The 25,935-nt window shown below is 39.3% G+C and overlaps 1 protein-coding gene across 16 annotated transcripts in view; it reads right to left on the reverse strand.

Annotated features, from left to right (window-relative positions):
* The window catches only part of EPB41L4A (erythrocyte membrane protein band 4.1 like 4A), a 278,107-nt gene that overhangs the window by 136,425 nt on the left and 115,747 nt on the right, over positions 1-25,935 (reverse strand). For 15 of the 16 annotated variants that reach the window (XR_001742173.3, NR_144931.2, XM_011543531.4 and 12 more), the window contains one exon: positions 2,019-2,070. Coding sequence is in view for 12 of the 16 variants with exons in the window: in XM_011543531.4 (XP_011541833.1) it covers positions 2,019-2,070 (52 nt within the window). In the remaining 4 variants the exon portion in view is untranslated. Of the gene's footprint in view, positions 1-2,018; positions 2,071-15,351; positions 15,717-25,935 lie in introns of those variants that run through there. The other variant, XM_047417478.1, reaches the window with a different exon arrangement.

Here is a 25,935-nt window from a genome sequence, read left to right on the forward strand (position 1 = left end):
ATTTTTTTTTTTTTGAGATGGAGTCTCGCTCTGTCATCCAGGCTGGAGTGCAGTGGTGGGATCTCAGGTCACTGCAACCTCCGCCTCCTGGGTTTTAAGCCATCCTCTCTGCCTCAGCCTCCCGAATAGCTGGGATTACAGGCACTCGCCACCACATCTGGCTAATTTTTGTATTTTTAGCAGAGACGAGGCTTCACCATGTTGGCCAGGCTGGTCTTCAACTCCTGACCTCAGGTGATCCACCTGCCTCAGCCACCCAAACTGCTGGGATTACAGGCATAAGACACCACGAGTCTTATGCAAATTTTTAATATTGCATTTTTAGAATGAAAAAGTGACTGCATTATAGACTGATACTTAAATAAAATATTTCATACCATGTAAATAAGTAGACACTTTAAATGTGCTTAGGAACACTTTAATAATGCACCTTAAAATAATTAACATTTTTTCATCACCTTGATAGAAATATCAACTTTTCCTATAAAAGAAACCTGTGAGTTTATTTTAAAATAATTGGCTGGGTGCAATGGCTCACACCTGTAATCCCAGCACTTTTGGAAGGCTCAGGTGGGTGGATCACCTGAGGTCAGGAATTCGAGACCAGCCTGGCCAACAAGGTGAAACCCCATCTCTACTAAAAATACAAAAAAAAAAAAAAATCAGCTGGGCATGGTGGTGGGCGCTTGTAATCCCAGCTACTTGTGAGGCTGAGGCAGAAGAATTGCTTGAACGCAGGAGGCAGAGATTGCAGTGAGCCAAGAGCTCGCCACTGCACTCCAGCCTGGGTGCCAGAGCAAGATACCGTCTCAAAAAAAAAAAAAAAAAAAAAATCATTCCTGAAATTTTTCTGGTTTTCCAACTGGTATTTTTTTAATCGGTTCAAATATGCTAGAGCTGTAACTTGTAAACTCCAGTGGTTTCCACTACAGAGGTGGAAAGGCGATGAGAAACAACAATGATGCTGACATTCATAGAAACAGGACTTTCGGATGGCTTTGCAGTCCAGGTTTCCAGTTCCTTTTGGAAGCAGAGCTACATTCCTGCCCTTGGATCCATGGAGCATCGCACAACCAATACTATCACAGGAAACAAGCTGACATGCACAGAAAATACAGACTCAGAATGGGGATAATGAATGCCAGAAGAATCCACTCCGTTTTGATTAGCAATAATTCACACAGTTCAGCAAAATGCTTTAATGGGGAACAGAGTTTCAGTTTAGGGAGATTAAAATGTTTTGGAGATGGACAGTGATGATGGTTGCACAACAACGTAAATGTACCTAATGCCACTGAATTGCACACAAAAATGGTTAAAAGGATCCATTTTATATGTTATGTACCTTTTATTTCAATTGAAACAGACAATTTTTTTAAAAAGAGTATTTTTTGCGCACTTAAGGAGCCTCTGTTTGTGCTTATAAATAAAAACTTGGGTTCTGGAAATTAAGATTAAGGAATATATACTTAATTATATTGCATCTCCTTATAATATTTGTATTGATAAAACCAAAAAGCTAGCTCCCAAAAATGGTCTCTCTCTGAAGACCACTTTTCAGATCACAAAGGCACCTCTTACTTACTGGCTTAGGAAACTGAGTGGTCTGAATGGCAAAACCATGCCATAACCCAAGAAACTCAAGCTCTTTAAAAGCTTGGACATTATGACCCATCCCTGCAGCCCACCTACCACCCCCGTTAATGTCTATTTGCCTTTTTTGTTTTAAGGTCAAATTTTAAAGACAAGCATACAGAAAAACCACAGACAAAATCAAGGAAAGACCTGCCTCTAGGAAAAATTCCATACTAAGATCCACTCAGAAACTGATTAAATTTAATCTGACTTTGGAGAGGGCCTAGCAATGCACACAATACACACATTCCCATATTCTGGTACTCAAGTACTAGTATTCACTTCTTTCTCCAGTACTAAAGCCCACTTCTGCACCCAACTAATCATGGACTTTGTCATCGTTTTCAAGCCACCCTTTAACAAAGTAAAAGCTAAATACCTACTGTTGATCAGTTCTTTGTGTTCAGCAAGGGTTTTTGCAGGATCCAGCCAATACTGTGTGAGGAAGAAAAGGACAATTAAAGAAATTAGTTGCTTTTCATTAGCTTTTACTTCAAGAATATTTGCAAAATGTTATTTAAACAACATTTTAAAACTTGGTCAGTTAAACACTTCTCTCATATACACACACAAACATACATAAGAGTTTTCTGCAGCAAGAACAGTAAAAGAAAAAATAGGCCAGGCACGGTGGCTCACACCTGAAATCCCAGCACTTTGGGAGGCAGGGGAGGAAGGACTGCTTGAGGCCAGAAGTTTAAGACCACCCTGGCCAATATGGCATGACCCCATCTTTTAAAAATAACATTAAATTAAAAATAAAATACAAAGAGAAAGATGATGCTGACGTTGGAAGAGAGGCAAAGAAGAGCAGCAGTACTTGCTGGGTCCCTGGTTGAATTATCATACTGATTATAATGTGACATCCAAATGCTTACAAGTGACTTCTATTTTTGGTGGGAAAATAATGGCCTCAAAAAAAATGTCCTCCAAGTCTCTTTCCAAAGTCTCCATCATCCCAAGCACTGCTCCCCTTAGAGCCATGTCTCTTCCTAATACGTCCTCACCATCTTTGCTTCCAGTCTCATCCCTACAGGTATTGCTGCTAGGTGTTAGGAAGAAAGCAATCAAATCGTCATTAAGGATCCAGGAGAGCAGTTCAGCACAGTGGCTGAGGGCCTGAATCCCAGGGCAGACCCATAGAGAGTCTGTTCTGACTCTCCCCATGTCATTGCCATGTAACTTAGGACAAGCAACTGGACACCACTGGACCTTCCTCATAAGGTTCCTGTGCAGATTAAATAAGTTAATCCAGGTAAAGTCTTTAGAATAGCCCCTAGCTCAGGCTACACATGCTAAGAATGATTAGGTTACCTCTAATAACTGCCTTTGGCCAGTCTAAGATACCTACTTATTAATTCAAATTAACAGTTAATGAACAGAATTTCAAGTGGTGGCAGGAGAATTCGGGGTCCTGGGGAGAGGCCTTCCTTTAAATCTCACAATTATTAAGTAGAATTATCGAAGGAAAGAGATGAGGTAAGCCTCTAGCTTCGCCTCTCCATCTGTGGGAAGAGCAGGGCAGAAGCCAAGGAAGCACAGAGGGCACTGGAGTTCCCACAAAAGCAGAGTCAAAGGGATAAGGGCTGCCCTGGAGGGTCAGGGGAGGGCAGAGATGGAATCGCTCCCACACTCTCCTAGCCAGATGCTGGGGACCCCCAGGGCCAAGCCACTCAGTTTCCATTTCCTCGTGCTCCTTAATGAAGAAGGGGCAATTCCCACCACAGCGAGGTAGGAGCTGACCCACTTTGAGCCACGTTCCATCCAGCACTCATGCGCTGGCGCAGTTCCCCACTTTCCTTCCCCTCAGTTGAGGGCAGAATGCTTGTTCTGCTATGTAACGGTAGCAATAATTATAAATGGCAATTATAATGCTTTATGCAATCCCCTTACCCTTTATTCCTAATTATGAATGCAATTATTCATACTATGAATACTATGACTATGAATACAACTGTTGTAGTCATTTTACTGTAAGATTTTATAACTATACTAAACTCTATTCATGCATATATAAGCTTCATTATTTGTCACTCACAGCAGTTTCCATTTTTTGACTTTTTTTTAAAAAAAAGTAGAGTAACCAACATATCTAAGTGTAGCAACTAAAAACTAAAAATAAAAACTAAAATGTTCATTATTCTGGTTTTCATCATGTCTTATTTTTCAAAGGTCTAGAATCACTCACTTTTAAAACAGAAAGTGTATTTGAGGCAGAGGATGTGTCAGTGAAATGCTCTTGGAGCCCACAGCGACTAAAAATGAGGCTTTGGTGTTAAAATTATGATCCCCAGGGAAAGTGTAGCTCATTCAAGTAGAGTAAAATCAATCCAAACGTTAAGCTGTGTGTTGGACACAACGCAGACCCATCCCTTTACATATATAAAGCTGTGGGTTCTTCATGAAATGGAAACATGAGGTGAGGGGACTGTTTCTTGCCATTCATGTTAAACAAAAAGGTTTTACTATCCCCTGAATTTTCCAATGAAGAGAAAACCAAGGAAAACAAACGCAAATACTCATTAACACTTGCATTCGGTTTCCACTGCTGCCGTAACAAATTACCACAAGCTTAGAGGCTAAAACAACACCTGTTTATTATCTCAGAGTGCTGAAAGTTAGTGTCTTTCTTTGCTTCAAATTTCACAAGGCTAAAATCAAGATGTCAGCCTGCTGGGGTCTTGGAGAGCTGGTTGGTTAGGGGACCGTATTCCCTAGAGCACAGTAAGGGAGAGGGCTTATGGATGCGTTATTAGAGGCTCTCCCAGTTTCTCCAGGTGTCAAGGCACATGTAACATTGGGATTTAATTTCACGCCCTACGCTACACTTACACATGAAGTGTCAATATGTGCTTGTGGCAAGAAGGGAAAAAAGGAGGCTTTGGTCTTATTACTGTCTGTCTAATCTTGTTCTGAAACTAGTAAGGGGCAGAAATCAGAGTTTTAAATTTCTCCTCCTATCATCATCATCATCCCAAAAGACAACCTTTGTAATTTTTTTTCAGATTTTTTGATTCATTTTGTTTTGTTTTGTCTTTGTTTCCTTGTCTCCAGAATGCTTTTCAGTCACTAAAGCCAGCTAAAGAAAATAGGAAGAAAAAATTTTAACTACATATAATGGGAAAAACTGGTTAATCTATCAAAAATTTTACATTAATGATAATCTGTTCTATTTTAAAATAAATCTCTTTCCTTGAGAGTGATTAAATTTGAGAGGTGAAAAAAGTAAAATAACAGTTTCAAGAAAAGTTAGAAATTACAATTCTGCAGCACGAAGCAGCAGCAGCAAGACTCAGTCAAAGGCTATTCAATCAACTCACTGCACATTTGCTATGCTAAGCATCACCCTAGAGCCGGCCACACACAAATCTCATTTGATCAAAATGGAAACCAGGGGTTACAGAGGTCAGACAATGATAAATGCCCAAGAACATAAATAATAAACACAAGTCACCAGGTTTCAGAAGCCAAGATCTTGAAATGTAAAACCCACTTACGTTCAACCAAGGGAAAGATGTGACCTTGGAACCAAAGCAGCCATGCTATGATGGCACTTGTCACCATTCATTATCAACAAGCAATCAAACAGAGCACATGGAAGATCAGAGTGAAACACAGCAGCCTGTTACTCTATAGTTTAAGAGAAAAAAGGGCACAAAAAATTGCCAATGAACACAATATCCCTGTTTTAAGGAATACATCCAGAATACTGGTCATGGAGTGCCAATATTCTAGAGGTAGACTCTAAAACTGGGATATCATTCATTCATTCATCACTTATGGATATCCACTATACATGTTCTTTACATGACATGTCAGACACTGTCCTTAGTATGGGAACACAAAGTTGAATGAGACCCGTGACTAACCTCGCACTCACAGCCCAGCAGGAGACACACAGCCATGTAATTACAATACAATGTGGTGAGACAATAATTACTTATATAAGATGAATACATATGAGATAATAAAATCATGTACAAGGAAAATTAACTGCAGGGTGAGTATACAATGGCTTTACTAAAAAAATCGTTAAATAGCATGTTCAAAAAAACTTTCTCAAAATACATAAATGGGAGATAACAGAGCCTTAAATCTGTATAAAGTACATGTCTATCAGCTCAACTGCTCTTAAAGCAAGTGAGTAAATTTCCATGTAATAACACAGAATGTAATACTCTAAGTCCTTTACAATTGAACACCCTATTGAAGTCAGTGTTGCCTAACAGCTAACAAATACTCAGCTAAGCAATCAATATTCATGGAGAACTTCCAGAAAGGGAAGTAGTCCATTCAGTCTTTCCACCTGCCCCACGTGAGGGGAAAGAGGAGCAGAGAGCTGAGAATCATGCAGTGTGGTGCCCTAAGAGACTGTTCTTTTGGAGTCTCCTAGAGTTCTAATAGAATAAACCCTAAATTTTTTTAAATAAAGGACAGCATGCAATAATTGGAGCTGTGCTGCATCTTATTTCACACTGGGTCCAATGTTGATTCAGAGAATGGTTTCTCTGAATTGTACCCTGGTGTGCTGCCTCTTGCATAGCCAGATGGTCACGAGGAGAAATAGCCCTATCTCTCATTCCCTCTCAACATTCAAGCTGTCCATTCTCTAGGATAATCACTCAAACACTTTCCCCTTCCCCACTCCCCTCTCTCTCCTATTTCAAATGTATACTATGCAGTCTGTATATGCTGACAAGCTGGATGAGATCCCATTTTGTAGGAAGGTAACAATGAACCCAAACAGACCCTGCTCTCTGATGTCGCACAGTCCACTCCTAACATACTGTATCCTAAACACTCCATCACTGAGGAGTCAGGGTGACAGTCCTCTCGGACTCTGCCCCTTTGCCAGAGTAGAAGAGGTAAAGCAGTTAGACAGCCTTACCACTTCAGGCCTGTCAATCTTAATCACAGCACTGATGTAACCCGGAGAGCAATGACAGACCCTTCTTACTCTCTGACAGTCCTGGCTAAATGCCCTTGGCTGCTTTCATCCACCTTGGCTGATAACTTCTCAATTTCATCAATTTCCTTGGTAACAGTCTCAGAATTAGGTTCTGAAACTCTAATAGTGCCCAGCCAATCAATATCCTAATCTTCAAAAGATATATATTAAATTCGGGGTCCAACCTTTCATTTGTCAACTGTTCTTTCAGAGTCTCCTAGAGTTCTAATAGTAGAATAAACCCTAAAAAATTTTTAAAAAGAAAGGACACCATGAAATAATGAGAGTTTGCTGCATCTTATTTCACCCAGAGTCCAATGCTGACTCTCTTTTGGAGAACTTAAGAATGTTACATTGACATTTAATAAAGTTTCCTGTAGGCCAAATAAAAGGACTTAAAAGCACACACAGTTTTCATTAATATAGCAAAACAACCTCTTGATCTAAGAGAGTAAAAACAGAGTTGGTCATGTACCATTGACAACAGAGCCACAAAGATCTCAAAAGTGATATAACAGGTCACTCCTGGGGAGTTCTAGGACTCAACATAATTCACATATATGTTTCAAGGAATCCAGGACTTAGGTTATGGCTATTTGTGCTTTTCCCACTGACCCTGTAAACAGATCTATGGCCCTCTAAGCAACATCAAGAGGACATGGCTTTAATTTGCTCCTTCATATGAGTCACAGAAGCCTTAGGACCTCAAGTAAAACCACCATAATAGAGCTATCTTGCAGTGGCGACAAAAACAAGGGCCTGTCACTGGAGTGATCTACAGGGAGGGAGAGATAATTACAACTGGCCCCGTTTTTCAGCAAAAGTGAATTTCAAGAAATCTCTGATGGACCATGTGGCTTCTCATAAAGTGTCACTGGCCCTGGGAATATTCCTCATTTCTCATCCATGGACCCTGACACCACTCTAAGGTTACAGAAATGCAATAATAACAGCTAGCATTTATTAAATGTTTGCAATGTGACAGGCACTGTTGAGGACTCTACATGTGTTTACTCTTTTAATCCTCTTAATAACTCTAGGAAGAACTATTATAATTACCATTTTATAAATGAGGAAACTGAAACACTGAGTAAACAACTTGCCCAAAAGTACAGAACAGCAGCTCCAACGAACTGAAGCCATTCCATCTTACACTCGGGCCAAGCTACTTTCTAAAATATTGTCTGAGAAGTAATGCACAACTTAAATTTCAAGATTCTTACTCTCAACTAATACTCTTCTCCCAACTCACTTTAATATTCTGACTCCACCAAGACACCCAATTCATTGACCCTACTACCTTTTCATTGTCCCTCGCTGATGCCCCCAACCAATGTCATTTCCCTCACTATTCATTATAATCATTCACTTGCAAGTGTCCTCAATTTCCTTGCACATCCTTGCTTCCATAATATCTACAGGAAAAAAAAACACCCATGGGTAACTCCAATTCCCCGCATTCTCCATGCTAGCACCCAAGGAGCTGAACATAACTGGAGGCTCACATTGCACAACCATAGGTGGGCTTGCTTTACATTCATTAGCAATAACCCAAGGGAACCCTTGGTATCACGCAGAATCCTACATTTTATTCCGTCATTCTCCTTAATAATTCTTGACACTTTCTCCTCTGTCCTTAAACTTCCAACAACTCCTTTCCCTTCCTCACTCTCAGCTGAAGATCTTCATTACTTCACTGAAAATGGAAACAATCATAAGAGAAATGCGTATGCATCCTGGCCCCGTCGACCAACCTGCTTGCATCTGAGCTTGTGTTCTGCCTTCTCTCCTGTTGCTGTGGAGGAACTGTCCATGTTCCACTTAGGCTCATCCCTTTCTCATCTATTCAGGAACATGGTTCCAGCAACCTTCTGTTCTCTTTCCTGCATCATGAAGGTTTCCCTTTTGACAGAATCATTGTTGGAAGAATGGTGGCTTTATTTCTCCCATCTTCAAAACAAAACCAAAAAACTTTGACTCCCATACCTGTCCATTTCACTTCTGTGCTTTGAAATAAATCTCTGGATGAGAAAAAAAAAAAAAAGTTGTTCTACATTCTCTCATCTCCTCATGGTCCCATTTTAGTATTTACTGCAATTACCTCCACGTTGTTCCATCATCCATGTTCTTGAAATACGTCACACGCTTCTAGGACACTCCTCAATCTTGCTTCTCCTCCCGTCTCACTGGCCACGTCTTCAAAATCTGTTGCTGGTTGCTCATATTTCCCTGACCAGGAAAGGCTGGACTGCTTAAGCTCATACCTCACATCAAGGCTCATGGCCTTAAATGCCATCTATACACTGACAACTTCCACAGTTATAGCCAGACCAGAATTCCCTGTTAATCCAACTGCCTACTTGGCATCTCCACTTAGATGCCTGTTAGAATCTCAAACTTTAGATGTCCAAAAGAAAACTGATGATTCTACCCCCTCAAAAAAAATTGTTCTCCTGCAGTCTTCACCATCTCAGTAAATAGTACAGCACTTTTCCATTGGTTCCAGTCAAAACCTCTTTATCTTCTATCTCTTCTATCCATCTGCAAATCTTGTTGGCTCTATGTTCAAAATATAAACATAAAAGGTCAAATTCTCACCACTCTCAGGTCCAAGCAGCCATTATCTTTTACTTGGATTTCTTCAACAACTCTTTTAATAGTATCCTTGAGTCTGCCCTTGCAGTTAGAGAAAATCATTTCAACACGGATCAAATCAGTTAACTCTTTTCTTCAATATCCTCCAGTGGTTTCCTTTCGCACTCAAAGTAAAACACAAAATCCTTCTAATAACCTATAAGGCCTTCCATGATCTGGCCCCACTCCCTCTACTTTCCACTGTGTGTTTTTGGGATGAAGTAGCAAGAAGGACCTTAAGGAGAGTATTGGTAGAAGCCTGAGGGCTTGCAGGGAGGCTGTCTCTAAGAGCCTCAATTAAAGCAGAGAAAGCTATTGGAAACAGAAAAAAATGTGGAATAAAAAATGTACCAAACGAACTGGATGATTCAGATAAGGAGGTTTCCAGGTAAACTGTTGAAATTGCTGATTGGCTTCATTTTGCTGGCTATAAATGAAATGTAAGAAGAGAGAGATAAGCTAAAAAGAAAGAAGAACTATTAAAATATAAAGGAGCCAGGACTTTTTACTGAGTTTGAAAATAAAACTTTCGCATTCCTAGTCCTATCAGAAGGCAAACAATGCTGCAATTAAGAAATGGCTTCTGGGCAAAGAATGAATCCAGCATGCTGTCAGGTAAACATGCTATAACTGTAAAATCCTTTATTAGATGTAATACAATTTATAAGATTTAACACCATGCCTCATGGACCCTTTCAAAACAAGATCCTCTAATAATCTTAACGGCACCGTGTCCCAACAGCCTTACAGGGAATCTAAGGTACAGAAGAGCTTATTCCAGAGCAATCTGTGGGTGCTGCCTTTGTCTAATAAAGTTAATTAAAGGTTGATTCATTAGAAATCCACAAAAACTTTTAGAAGAATTATACCAGCTTGGGCTGAAAGGGACAGAGATACTACAAACTGAAAAGAGGCCTTTGAACTCCCAATCTTCCTTAGGCAAAATCCAGGCCGAGAACACTACTCCACCGCAAATACACACTACTTTTTATTAAAAAAGCAAGCAAGCCCAGACAACAGAACCAAGAGCCGAGAAGACAGGGCCAATCGTCATAGTGAACAACTCCTAGGCAATAGGACCAAGTCCTAATCAGAGAAATCACCACATGTGTCTGGCTAGATTTCAAAACTAGTATTATGGACTAGTAATTGTTGTGTGCCTCCTGTTTTGCCCCTTTCTAACTGGAAGCATTTATACTGGTTATCCTATGCATGTTCCACCACTGTATGTTTGGGGCGGGTAGGCAGGAAACATATCTTATCACCTTAATTCACATATCTTCAGATCAAAAGGAACTGTACTCAAGGGTTAAACTTCAGGGAAAATGTTCGAAGAGTCTGATTAGAGGAGATGATATATCTTTTTTTTTTTTTTATGATGGAGTCTCGCTCTGTCACCCAGGCTGGAGTGCAGTGGCGCAATCTCGGCTCACTGCAAGCTGGAGATGGTATATCTTAAGCTCAAGTCCCATGTCACAATAAATAAGAATATTGGGAGGCCTTGGGAGGGATAAGTGCATTTTATATGTAAAAAGAATATAAATAATTTTTGGTCAGAGGAATCTCATGTATTAAAACATGTCTTTAAATTAGTCAACACTATTCCTATCAAAAGGTATAATGTAGTATTCCTCCCCTTTAAATGTTACCTGACCAAGAGTAAAAACAGTATATGGTGTAGTGATGGAAGAGAAGGCTAGAGAAGGATCTACAGATTATAGATAGGGCCCAGATAATAAAGAGTCTCGTATGCATAATAGAATTTGAATTTAAGCAGAATACTATGGATACTCATTGAAATCTTATAAGTAGGGGAGCAACTTCATAATATTTGCATTTTAATCTGATCACCTTGACAGCAAGTAAAAGGAGAGTGGGTTAAAGTAAAGCAAACCAGGAATCCAGGAGCCTAAGTAGCCTACTCAGGTAATCCAGGAAAAACTTTGAGAGGTGCAAACTTGAGGGAATTTGAGTGGCAGGGGGTTTGGGGGGAATATTGCCTGGACTTTACTTTGAACCAATAGAATGCCACAGAAGTAACACTGTGTGGTGGCAGAAGTAACTGCCTGTCTTCTGAGACTTGGTCATGCACAGTGACCATGCTCCTTCTGGTATCCTTCCCTCCCTTTGCCCTCTGGATGTTTTCCCTTGCGAGGAAGCCAAGCAACAACACAGAGAGTCCACAAGTAGGTGCTCCATCCCCAGTTGAAGCCCCAGCCAATGCCAACATCAACCAGCACACACATGACTGAGACTTCAGATGACTCCAGCCTCCAGCCTTCATGCTGCTCCAGCAGACACTAAGTAGAACAGACATGAGCGGGCCCTCCCAAGCCCTGCCAAAGTCGCAGATCCACGAGCAAAATGTGTGTGGCTGTAATTTAAAGCCCCTACATTTTGAGAGGGCTAGTTACACAACAAAGAGTAACTGGAGCACTTCCCAATTTATCCAGACCTCTTTTATCTTCATTCTTGTATTCAACAAACTTGCTATTCCTCCTGTGTTTATGCCATCTGTGAATGTGATGTGCATGCCCTTTATGTCTTCATCCCAGGTACTGGCATAGATGTTCTATGCCCTGGAACATACCTAGAAACCTCCCTCCATCACATCATTCAAGAAACCAGAGATGACTGTGAAAAGCCATCCTAACTAATTATCTTTCAATTTAGCATCATTTTTCCATTTAGTCCACAAAGACATCATACAAACTTTTCTGTGTATCTTTGACTTCCAAACATACTAGTTTTATTATTAATAAAGTGGTCTGATGAAAGCTGCTTTTTTTGTTACTGAAAATACACTGGATTCTAGGGACCTACTATTATATGTCTTCAGAGCCCACCAATCATTTTTTAAACATGCCTTCCTGCCAACATATGCCTGTCTCTAGTGGAGCTGCCCTACAGTTGCATCTAATAGGCTGTTTCAAATCTCTTAGGACCAGGGCACATAATAACCAATGTGTTCAGATTTCTTCCTAAAATGAAAATAAACATGGTTTTAGGGATCACAGATTCCTTGAGAAAGTCCTGAATCCCGTGAGTGGACTCTAAAATAATCAATCTGTGCTGCTTAAGAAACCTTAGATCTCTGGAAAGTTTCGACTACATTTTGGGTAAGTGAAGTTGCAACACATTTTTAAAATGTGGATAAGTGAGGCATCACTGTATACAGACTATGAGATCATTTCATCTTGAAATAAAATCCTAAATTTGCCATGTCTTGAAACTGTAGTAATTTAAAATATACAGGTGGTTAAGTTAGGGTTCATTTAAACTCTGTCCTAGAAGCTGAACATAAATGTAGTTTTAGCTAACCAAGTAATCTGGCACAAAGGAGCAAGCCAGCCCAGGGAGCTGCAAAGTAAGCAGGGTCCAGGTGCCCTGCTCAGCACCACCCACACAGTTACACCTACTCCAGCATGTACAATTCACATGGTTAGCACAGCTGCACACTGCAGCCTTGCCCCTTCTCATCTGCAATTACAGTCTGTTTCTCCCTAAATGACCTTATTTGGTCTCATGACTTTAAAAACCTAGAGACTCCTAGATGTGACTCCAGCCTACTCCCCTACTCCCCTAATGTCTCTGGGATGTCAAATGGGTGTTTCAAACCCAACATATGCAAATCAGAACTGACTTCCCAAACTGAAAAACCAGCTCCCTATCACTCCTCATCTTGACATTTCCAACAGAAATGTACACAGAGCCTACAAAAGCCTGCTGGGCCCTATGTTATGGGGGCCCTGCCCACCTTTCCACTTCATCACCCTCTTTCTTACAACTCTAGCATCACTGGACTCCTCTCAGTTCCAGAACACCTCGCATCTGTCTCTGCCTTAAGGCCCCCATGCCAGCTGTTCCTCCTGCCTGCCATGCTCCTCCCCTTATCACTCCAGCCTCGGTGTAAATACCAAAGAGGTCTCTTCTAACCACCTGTGGTGTTTATGATATATATTGGTTTTCATCCATGGTTCCTGGTTCATAACTCCCATAGCCCTTGTTAGTCTTTTGTTGAAATGTTGGGAGTGTTAGGCCTCAGGACACAAAGTCTCTCTCCTGCCCTCCTTTCACCTGCCCCTAGCAGGACTCTAATCTTCTCCCACCTTTCTGACTGTGGGTCTTAAGACCTTTCCCTGTGTTCATACAGATCATGGGGGAATGAGGAACCCTCCCCAGAGAAAGTCTAGCCCTATACACCTGGAAAAGGAATGCTGACATCATGACACTTCCACAAAGACTCAAGAGGACTTGGTCCAGGGAGCTTCTAGGTAGCCGAACACATGCAGGTTCCTGGAGGGTGGCGTGCCCAGGAGGGCATAGAAGTTCCATGCCCCGTTCCCCCATACCTCACCTTACACATCTCTTCATCTATATATTCTGCGTTTCTGAGTTTTGTAAGCTGCTCTAGCAAATTAATCAAACCCAAAGAGAAGGTCATGGGAACTCCAACTTGAAGCCAGTTGGTCAGAAGTTCCACAGGCCTCGGCCAGGAGCAGTGGCTCACACCTGTAATTACATGGGTAGAGACTTTTTCTCTACATACCACCCAATGGAAGAAGCCTTCACAAAACTCTAGCATATCATCTTATTTTCAAAGCATTCAGTACCTGATATTTGAGTATCTTTTTATGGTCTGTCTCACCCCTGGAAATAAACTCCTTGAGACCAGAGACCTTGGCTCTTACTCACCATTGTGCCATACTTCCTGAGACACAGTGGCTGCCTGGTAAGTATCTGCTATGTGATTGAATGGAGATGAGCAACAGCAAATGCTCATCTTTCCTCACAGTCCCAGTTCAGGCTGTGCTGATATGAGTAAGGATATAACTCTAAAAAATGTTAAACAAGAAACTTCCTGAATATCCTCTATAAAATATCCTGCGGCCTCCAATACTGATGGGTATCATGAAAGAATAAACTAAGCTCCTACAGATCATCAGCTTTTAAAGGCCCACTTCTGTTAATTCATAAAGCAGCTCTCAAAACTCATAGTCCAGAAGGGAAAGTAGGTAACTCCCACTTTCCCATGAAACAAAAAAGCACCTGCACAGCTTTTTAACAATTCCAAGAACATCTCTCTTATTGGAACAGGTCCTAAAATGATAGACAAACTAGTCACTTAGCTTTTAGTACATGCAGCAAATTTGCAATTTTATAAAATATAAGTAGAATAGAAAATATTCCATAAAATACATTTTATTAGTAGGCTACTGACACATCACGATTAAACTGTTTATTATATTCAAGGAGAAAATTCTCTTAAGATTCAGAATAAGGTTAAATCAAGGTTAATTTATCAGAGCTTTGTGTCGAAACCCTAAATTTAAAAAAAAACTAGTTTTCTAATGTCTAAAATCATTAACTCTAAAATCACTGTTTTCCCATTAGGCAATCAATCAACTGTCTGAAATTCCTTCCTTTATGGCTCATTCTGATTTAACCGGGGAGAAGGACAGTCTAATTTAATAAATGTTCATAGTAAAGAAATCAATATTCCTTTCACTTATGTATATAACTAAGAAGGTATGGGTCACAGAAATTTCTCAGGTACTGCATTTATTGATAAGAACACCTAGCATACCTACGTACCTGGTTGTATATACAAAAATATAAATGTATATGGATATATGGATATATATATACATGTATGTATATGTTGACATTTCTACCATTCCTGATAGTTTTGTTATTAAGTACTTTGTACCTTTATTGTTTTCAATTGTTGTTCGATGGAAGCATTTTTTTTTTTAACTTTTAAATTCAGGGATACAGGTACAGGTTTGTTATACAGGTAATCTCGTGTCATGAGGGTCTGCTGCACTGATTAATTTTGTGACCCAGGCATTAAGCCTGGTACCCATTAGTTATTTTTCCTCATCCTCTCCCTCCTTTTAATTTAGTTTAATTTAGTTTTGGTGAAGAAGGCATTGGGTGCCATTAACAAAGAAAACTTTCTCTCCAAGATAGAATTCAGCCCTTCACCTCCCTAAACCTAGAAACCGCAGGATAAAATATTATACATGACCCATGGAAGAAACATTCATGCCTACTGCAATCAACCATTTGAGGGAAAGAAGGAAAAAAGAACTAAAGTTCAAAATGTGCCATGGAGGTGATCCTACACAAACCTGGGTCCTTCAAGAGCCGTTTTTGAGTCCGTGTCAAAATCAACAAACTGAAGACCAATCAGTCAAAGCATGCTCTGCTTTTCCCGATGCCGCAGTGAGGAAAGCATGCAGTGCAAGAAGCGACTTTGGGGGAGCCGTTTGGGAGGCTCCCCTCTCAGCACTTCCCGGGGTTATTTCAGGCATGTCAGCTGCTGAATTCTCATGGTGTTTCACATGACTGTGCTCAGAAGAGGGCACACCCACTCTAAACAGAAAATGTTCCAGAAGAACATCATCTCTTCCTTTCCTATTAAACACTGTTTAACCAAGAAGAAATAGAAAAATCTACTTTTAGAAGTGCTATTTATTATAAACAATTTTTTAAAATCATGGGATCCACCATCATACAGTTACACATGACATTGTTTGAACTCAAATCCTCATATAATATGCCTCCTTTTATTACATACTACACCACTATACCTCTAACCAGACAAGAATATTCTAAACAGCACCTAGTAGCTGCCAGCACATTAAAAATATCCTGTACCTGTTGTTTCTTATAATCCCAATAAGAATTTTCAATCTAACTTCCTAATATCTCAGTAAAGCTTTTTCTTTTTTTTTAAATGTAAGTTAAATCTGGTTAAAATGAACAGCAGGAGAGGCCTTTCATAAGAGAAGGAGGGAGCATGCAGGCGTGGGAAGGGGAGGTGTGGGAATGCTCTTGTCAAGGCCCTCGCCTCCCAGTGAGCGGCCCACACAGTCCAGGCGAGAGTTCTTTCACTCAGTAACATTACAGATCACTTGTTTTGCAGTGACAGAGGTGGTAAGAAAGTGGTGAATAGGATTCAATGCTTCCCTTCAAAAAGTATCCGATCAAATGGTATTATTCAATAGACACAAACAATGTTGTATTTGTAATATGTGATACAAGAAGGCCCAAAATATTTCTGGGGGGTCGGGGAAAGCTTCAGGAAGCAGGAGACATCAGAAACACCACACTCTGTGGATGGTAATGATAAACAAGATTTAAACAAGGAAAAATGATGGAAGGGAAGAGAACAAGAAGGGTGTTCAGGCAGGGGAGGCAGCACATACAACCCCCCGAGACACTATGGTACAGCTAAGGAGCTGCAGGTAGTTCAGTGGAGCTACGGCGTACCTGAAGTACGCATTTGGGTGGGGAACTGAAAAGTCATGTTGCAAGAAAAGGAGCTCAAGATAACCAAGGGCCACGTATCTTAAAGGACTTTGTAAACCATGTTTAGGAGTTTGGATTTTCCCTTAGGGAGCCATTAAATAATTTTAAGCCACAGAAGGAGACACCATCAAAGTCGCCTTTCTGAAAGAAAACTGCAATTGCAGTGGGGAAAACACTGGAGGGAGTAAGACCAAAGACAGGACAGCCAGTCAAAAAAGCTTTTATAGAAACCCAAGCTCATCTGGCACTGAAACTAAAATTCAGAGATGGAGACTGATTCTAGAGAGGTGAATAGATGACCACAAGTCCTGTTTACACCAGTGGTCCCAGCTTAGTTATTAACAGTGTCCCTTTTCACTCTCAAAAGTATCCTGGATTAGTGAGTGAACTGTATGGTCAATCTAGGAATTAAGGAGTAAAGCTGCCAGGACTTGGTGACTGGCTATGAGGAGAGGTGAGATGATGTAGTTGGGAATGACACCCAAGATTCTAGCTTGAGCAATTGGGTAGATGGTGTTGCCATTCACTAAGCTATTGTAACAAAGGTGCAGGCACCTCGGGGATGCTATGTGAGGACTTCCCAAAGGATACATGGGTAAACATAGTTTTAAGAACTCAATTCCCAGATTCTCACCTTCCATATACACTCTATTCCAAAACTGATCTACCAAAGAATAAGCCCAAGATTAGGACATTATGCTAATTCTCCTTTCCTACTGCACTCTCCTTTCAAAATTCTCCATTCCCAATTTACTGAAAGGCACCTTTCAGCCCTGTCAAGCTGCTATAGTGCATTGCCCAAGGGCACGAATAATCACAGGAGAAGCATAGGAAGACTTTAAAATACTGATGTTAACAAAGTTGTCTTTAATAAAGACACTATAAATCAGAAAAACATAGTGTTATGTATTTTTCCATTTTATACATATTTCTGGCAAGGACTATGCAAAGTGTTAGAAGCATGATATTTTGGCCTATACTTGGGTGGTTCTAAAATCAGATACATTGTACCATAGGGCAGCACCAGGAGTGATGATTTTTGTTTAATGATCTTGCAATTTCCATACTCTAGCTACTGTCAGTTCCTTAAGAATAAGACAAATCAAAGTCTTGGTAAGTGAAAGCAGACCTATCTTATCTAGGCAACAAAATGCTTTGCCTTATCTGTCTTAGGAATAGAATTCCAAAATGAAATACTTTTCATGGAACTCAAGTTAACATTTTTATTTAAATTGACAAAATGACAGAAAGCAAGTTGGTTTGGCTAAGTGGCTTAATAATGACTGGCTTTGTCCAAGAGTTTTATGTTGGAGACTTTCCATAAGCCAAATGAACTAAATCTGCAATTCTAAGATTCTGATGAAAATATAAAGTATATAATTAGATAAAAGCACTTTATTAAAAATCTTACATTGGCAAACTTATGTTAAAATTAATGATTTTAAAATTTTTCTAAATCCCTTCTATTTTTTATTTAATATTGCATTAAATCAGGTGCCTCTAAATAAAAAAAAGCATAATTAATAACATTTTGGTAAGTGTTGACAAAGCATTTTTAATACATTTCCTAGAAATTGTGGAGTTGAATTACTATAATAATCAATTAAGAAATTTTAAGACAGGTGGTCTTGAATTCATTGCTTTCAACTAAAGAAAAACCCAACTGAATGGTCTGAAAAAACACTGCTCTCAGATATATAAGAAAAAGGTAGAGTTGGAATCATTCCAGGAATATATTATAATGGACTAATTGGAAAGAAAAAGTCCCACTCACCTCATTAAAAGATGCGCTTCCAATAAATACTTATATTTTATGTTTAATAATTTTTTTCCATAGGTTTTTAGGGAACAGGTTAGGTATTGAGTTACATGAATAAGTTCTTTAATGGTGATTTGTGAGATTTTGGTGCAACCATCACCCAAGCAGTATACACTGAAGCCAATTTGTAGTCTTTTATCCCTCACCCCCTTCCTACCCCTTCCCTCCCGAGTCTCCAAAGTCCATTGTATCATTCTTATGCCTTTGCATCCTCATAGCTTAGCCCCCACTTACGAGTGAGAACATACAATATTTGTTTTTCCATTCCTGAGTTACTTCACTTAGAATAATAGTCTCCAATATCATCAAGGTTGCTGTGAATGCCATTAATTCATTCCATTTTATGGCTGAGTAGTATTCCATCACATACATATATACATACATACACACACACACACACACACACACACACACCACAGTTTATCCACTCGTTGACTGATGGGCATTTGGGTTGGTTCCACATTTTTGCAATTGTGAACTGTGCTGCTATAAACATGGGTGTGCAAGTATCTTTTTCGTATGACTTCTTTTCCTCTGGGTGGATACCCAGTAGTGGGATTGCTGGATCAAATGGGAGTTATACTTTGAGTTCCTTAAGGAATCTCCACACTGTTTTCCATAGTGGCTGTACTAGTTTACATTCCCACCAGCAGTGCAGAAGTGTTCCCTTTTCATCATATCCATGCCAAAATCTATTATTTTTTTATTTTTTTGATAATGGCCATTCTTGCAGGGGTAAGGTGGTATTGCATTGTGGTTTTGATGTGCATTTCCCTGATCATTAGTGATGTTGAGAGTTTTTTCATGTATTTGTTACCATTTGTATATCTTCTTTCGAGAATTGTCCACTCATGTCCTTAGTCTACTTTTTGATGGGATTGCTTCTTTCTTATTTGTTTGAGTTCCTTGTAGATTCTGGATATTAGTCCCTTGTCAGATATATAGATTGTGAAGATCTTCTCCCACTCTGTGGGCTGTCTGTTTACTCTGCTGACTGTTCCTTTTGCTATGCAAAAGCTCTTTAGTTTAATTAAGTCTCACCTATTTATCTTCATTTTTGTTGCATTTGCTTTTGGGTTCTTGGTCATGAAATCTTTGCCTAAGCCAATGTCTAGAAGGGTTTTTCCAATGTTATCTTCTAGAATTTTTATAGTTTTAAGTCTTAATGATTTAGGACTTAAATCTAAGTCCTTGATCCATCTTGAGTTGATTTTTGCATAAGGCAAGAGATAAGGATCCAGTTTCATTTTCCATCATGTGACTTGCCAATTATCCCAGCACCATTTCCCCACTTTGTTTTTGTTTGCTTTGTCGATGGTCAGTTGGCTATAAGTATTTGGGTTAATTTCTGGGCTCTCTATTCTATTCCATTGGTCTATGTCCCTATTTTTATACCAATACCATGCTGTTTTGGTGACTATGGCCTTATAGTATAGTTTGAAATCAGGTAATATGATGCCTCCAGCTATGTTCTTTTTGCTTAGTCTCACTTTGGCTACGCAGGCTCTTTTTTGGTTCCATATGAACTGTAGGATTGTTTTTTCTAGTTCTGTGAAGAATGATGGTGGTATTTTGATGGAAATTGTAATGAATTTATAGATTGCTTCTGGCAGTATGGTCATTTTCACATTATTGATTCTACCCATCCACGAACATGAAATGTGTTTCCATTTGCTTTCAACTTTTCCCCGTTCATATTATGTTGGCTGTGGGTTTGTCATAGATGGCTTTTATTACATTGAGGTATGTCCCTCGTATGCCAATTTTGCTGAGGGTTTTAATCATAAAGGGATGCAGAATTTTGTCAAATGCTCTTTCTGCATCTACTGAGATGATCATGTGATTTTTGTTTTTAATTCTGTTTATGTGATGTTTCACATGTATTGACTTGTGTATGTTAAACCATCCCTGCATTCCTGGTATGAAACACACTTGATTATGGCGGATTATCTTTTGTATATGCTGTTGGATTTGGTTAGCGAGTATTTTGTTAAATATTTTTGCATCTATGTTCATCAGGGGTATTGGTCTGTAGTTTTCTTTGTTATACTGACTTCACAGAATGATTTAGGGAGGATTTCCTCTTTATCTTGAAGAATAATGTCAATATGATTGGTATTAATTCTTCTTTGAATGTCTGGCAGAATTCAACTTGAATCCATCTGGTCCTGGACTTTTTCTTGTTGGTAATTTTTTTATTACCATTTCAATCTCACTGCTTGTTAATGGTCTGTTCAGGGTTTCTAATTCTTTCTGATTTAAGCTAGGAGGGTTGTCTCTTTCCAGGAATTTATCCATATCCTCCATGTTTTCTAGTTTATGCACGTAAATGTGTTCATAGTAGCCTTGAATGATCTTTTGTATTTCTGTGGTGTCAGTTGTAATATCCCCCATTTCATTTCTAATTGAGCTTATTTGGATCTTCCCTCTTCTTTTCTTGGTTAATCTTGCTAATGGTCTATCAATTTTATTTATCTTTTCAAAGAACCAGCTGTTTGTTTCATTTATCTTTTGCATTTCTTTTTGTTTCAATTTCATTTAGTTCTGCTCTGACCTTGGTTATTTCCTTCATTCTGTTGGGTTTGGTTTGGTTTGTTCTTGTTTCTCTAGTACCTTGAGGTGTGACCATAGATTGTCTAGTTGTGCTCTTTCAGACTTTTTGATACAGGCATTTAAGGCTATGAACTTTCCTCTTAGCACTGCCTTTGCTGTATCCTAGAGGTTTTGATAGTTGTGTCACTATTATCATTCAGTTTGAAGAATTTTTTCCACTATGGTCTGAGAGAGTACTTGATATAATTTCAGTTTTCTTAAATTTATTCAGACTTGTTTTGTGGCCTATCATATGGTCTATTTTGGAGAAAGTTCCATGCACTGATGAATAAAATGTATATTCTGAAGTTGTTGGGTAGAATGTTCTGTAAATGGCCAGGCGTGGTGGCTCCCGCCTGTAATCCCAGCACCAAGGCAGGTAGATCACCTGAGTTCAGGAGTTTGAGACCAGCCTGGCCAACATGGTGAAACCCCATCTCTATTAAGGAATATTATGTAAATATCTGTTAAGTCCATTTGTTCTGGAGTATAGCTTAAATCCATTGTTTCTTTGCTGACTTCCTATCTTGATGACCTGTCTAGTGCTGTCAGTGCAGTATTGAAGTCCCCCACTATTACTGTGTTGCTCTCTATCTCATTACTTAAGTCTAGTAGTAATTGTTTTACAAATTTGGGAACTCCCGTGTTAAGTGCATATATATTTGGGACTGTGATATTTTCCTGTTGCACAAGGGCTTTTATCATTATATAATGTCCTACTTTGTCTTTTTTAACTACTCTTAAAGTTTGTTTTGACTGACATATGCCTGCTTGTTTTTGGTGTCTATTTGCATGGAATATCTTTTTCCATCCCTTTATCTCAAGTTTATGTGAGTCCTTATATGTTAGGTGAGTCTCTTGAAGGCAGCAGATACCTGGTTGGTGAATTCTTATCCATTCTGCAATTCTGTATCTTTTAAGTGGAGCATTTAGGCTATTTACATTCAACATTAGTATTTAGATATGAGGTACTATTCCATTCATTGTGCTATTTGTTGCCTGTATACCTTGTTTTTTCTTAATTATATTTTTGTTTTATAGGTCCTGTGAGACTTATGCTTTAAGGAAGTTCTGTTACTGATGTGTTTTCAGGATTTGTTTCAAGATTTGGAGCTCCTTTTAGCAGTTCTTATAGTGCTGTCTTAGGACTGGCAAATTCTCTCAGCATTTGTTTACCTGAAAAAGACTATCTTTTCTTCATTTATGAAGCTTAGTTTTGCTGGAGACAAAATTCTTGGCTGATAATTGTTTTGTTTAAGGAGGCTGCAGATAGGGACCCAATCCCTTCTACCTTGTAGGGTTTCTGCTGAGAAATCTGCTGTTAATCTGATAGGTTTTCCTTTATAGATTACCTAATGCTTTTGCCTCACAGCTACTAAGATTCTTTCCCTCATCTTAACTTTAGCTAACCTGATGACAATGTGCCTAGGTAATGATCTTTTTGCAATTTGCCAGGTGTTCTTTGAGCTCCTTCTATTTGGATGTTTAGGTCTTTAGCAAGGCTGGGGAAGCTGTACTAGATTATTCCCCCAAATATGTTTTCCAAACTTTTAGATTCCTCTTCCTCCTCAGGAATGCCAATTATTCTTAGATTTGGTCACTTAATGTAATCTCACATTTCTTGGAGGTTTTGTTCATTTTTTTAATGCTTTTTTCTTAGTCTTTGTTGGACTGGGTTAATTTGATAACCTTATCTTCGAGATCTGAAGTTCTTTATTCTGCTTGTTCGAGTCTTACTGCTGAGAATTTCAAGAACATTTTGCATTTCTCTAAGTGTGTCCTTTATTTTCTGAAGTTGTGATTGTTTTTTATTTATGCTATCTATTTCACTGAAGATTCCTCCCCTCGTTCCTTGTATCATTTTTTTTGATTTCCTTAAATTGGACTTCACCTTTCTCTGGTGCCTCCTTAATTGGTTTAATAATCAATCTTCTAAATGCTTTTTCAGGTCAATCAGGGACTTTTTCTCGGTTTAGATCCACTGCTGATGAGAGAGTATGATTTTTTGGGTGGTGTTGAAGAACATTCTTTTATCATATTACCAGAATTGTTTTTCTGGTTCCTTCTCCTTTGAGTAAACTATGTTAGATGGAAGATCTGGAACTTAAGGCTGCTGTTCAGATTCTTTTGTCCCATGGGGTGTTCCCGTGATGTAGCACTCTCCCCCTTTTCCTAGGAATGTGGCTTCCTGAGAGCTGAGATGCAGTGACTGTTATTTCCTTCTGGATCTAGCCACCCAGCAGGGCTACCAGACTCCAGGCTGGTACTAGGGGTTGTCTGCACAGAGTCCTGTGATGTGAACCATCTTCATGTCTCTCAGCCATGGATACCAGCACAGTATTTGCAGTGTCTCTGGGTTCCTGCAGGAGCAATCTGCTTCCTTCAAAGGGTCTGTGGATTCTCTCAGCTTTCTTGGTATATTTCTGCAGTAGTTCTGGAGCAAAATTTCACAATGCAAGTCTCTACACACTGCACGATCCGTCCGAGTGGGAACTGCAATCTAGTCCTGCCCCCTGTCTGTCAATTTCCATAGAAAATATGTTTAATAATTATTAAAATGCATAGTATTTTGCTGTTTTAATTAATTGTATAGTGACAACCATGGTAATAACAACTACTTTTAGGGCTCAACAACAATTAGAGCCTTAACATCTTAGGAAATAAACTTTTAAAATTCCAATTTATATGTATATTATGGATATATGTTTTTTATTAATAAAAATATAATAACATTTTAGGGAGAAAGTAGAATAGGAATACAAGTTTAACGACATAAAAGGAATAAATAAATGTTTCTGATTTTTAAAAAAGAGCTTGTTCATAAATTTTTATAAAGGTAGATGAAGAGTACAAAATTGCTATGAAATATAAATTCATAGGATACATTTAAAAGGAATATGACAATTTGATTTTACAATGTCAGTATTTATGATAAACCAAAGATCTGGATCTACTAAAACTTACAAAATTTCAATTCTCAACCTAAAATTACACACGAGTACATGGTTTTTTAAAAAAATTCATAGACCAGGTATGGTGGCTCACACCTATAATCCTAGCACTTTGGGAGGCTGAGGCAGGAGGATCACTAGAGCTCAGGAGTTTGAAACCAGCCTAAGCAACATAGTGTGACCTCATCTCTAAAAGAAAAAAAAATCTTGAAAATCACTGATCTCAGAAACATTTTTTAAAAAGAGCAGATTTGGAGGGGAAGATGGCTTCAGTTTTGAATATGTTACCTTTGAGATACATGAGAGGCATCCGAGTAGTGAACAACAGCTAAAACATTATGTGGACCACACATGTTAAAGCACTAGTCTGTGTATTTTTTATAGATTCCTTCAATCATCACTACCACCCTATGAAGCTGGTACTATTACTATCTTCACTTTATAAACAGAGGAACTGAAGTATAGAAAAGTTAGGGAGACTCACTCAATGCCACACAGCTCTCCAGGTAGACTGTGGTTTGAACCCATACAGTCTGAATCCAGATTTTGAATTTTAACACAGTGTAGTCCCTCCTGAAACATCTGGGTTGAAGATAGGAATCTGAGGCTCAGTCTTTCAATATAATTTAAACCATGGAACAGTTACCAAGGAAAAGTAACACACATTCGTCAGCAGGAAACTTAGACCTTCGGTGCTATGGGGCCCCCTATAGATGCTTCCGGCTTCCAGGCCGTGGACTCTTGAAAAGCCACCTGCCATCATTGTTTCCCAGATACCCTTCATGTGTTGTTGTCAGCCCTCCCAGGATACTGTGCTTCTCATGATGCTCTTCATAAAGTCAAAGGGTTACCTAAGAGGAACTTTCTGCTTCTTGATCTTTCCCCTCTGTTCCTCCAACAGTTGCTTGAAGACATCTCACATAGTAAGTTTCATTCTGTAATAATCCAGCATGACAATCTTCCTTTCTTTGCAACAGGACTCACATTATCACTTATACATATTTTATCAGTCATTATAGGTACTTTCCAGAACATATAATCACAGAATGTGAAACTTTACACGTTACAAAATACAGCATCAGGATGAAAGGAAGAGGGGCCACTACTGACGGCAGAGAGGACACACTTAAGCATGCCTGCTAGAGCTCAATGGATGAGGATTTTTGTTCAATACTCAGAGTACTCGGGGGCAGGGAAGAGAATACAAATATTAACACATACACAGCTTAGTTTAGATGGTTAAGGAAATTATCTCAGAGGTAAACAGTACTAGCAAAGGTAGCACTAAATGTGTGGGCCTGAACAGAGTTAGAGCCTAAGAGAACTAAGGACAAAATCCTGGTGAACACCAACATTTTATGGAACAGGCAGTGGAATCACAATCGTAGAGAAGACTGAACAGGAATAACTAGAGAAAACATGAAGAGAGAGAAACAAAAAGAATATAGTGCCAGAAGAACAAAATGAGAAGATTTCAAGAATGGGCAAGTTGTTAGTGTCAAAGCAAAAGAAAGGTCAAGTAAGACAAGGACTGACAGAGTCTCTTGGATTTAGCAACTGGCAAGGCAGGGCCAGTTTCAGTGATGTGATCGGGAAAAAAGCTGCATGGTGATATGTTTAGGAAACAATGGGATTTCAGAAGTGAATGTAAGAAACTTAGACAAGGTTTTCTGAAGTTTACGCGTGATGCAGAAGGAGCCAAAGACAGCAGCAGATAAGGGAGGGCAAAGGAGGAGGGGAACGGGAGGTTCTAAATGGGAAAGACTTGAACACACCCAAACACTGACTGGAAAGAGGGAGCAGGTAGGGTACAGAGACACAAAACAGAAAAAGCAAGGTGGTAAGATCCAGCTCACAGACACTGGTGACAGGAAAGGAAGGGTATGAAGCAACTAAGTGTGTTTGGGGGTGGGGTGGTCAAGAAAGTGGGAAGTTTCTGATTGCTTTTATTGTCTTAGCAAGGGAAAAACAGAGTTCACTGGCAGAAGACAGTGTTTGCATGCTGTCTTCATCTGTGTGCTTCACACATTCCCCCTCCT

The sequence above is a fragment of the Homo sapiens genome, chromosome 5, assembly GCF_000001405.40.
Source record: "Homo sapiens chromosome 5, GRCh38.p14 Primary Assembly".
Classification (NCBI taxonomy): Eukaryota; Metazoa; Chordata; class Mammalia; order Primates; family Hominidae; genus Homo; species Homo sapiens.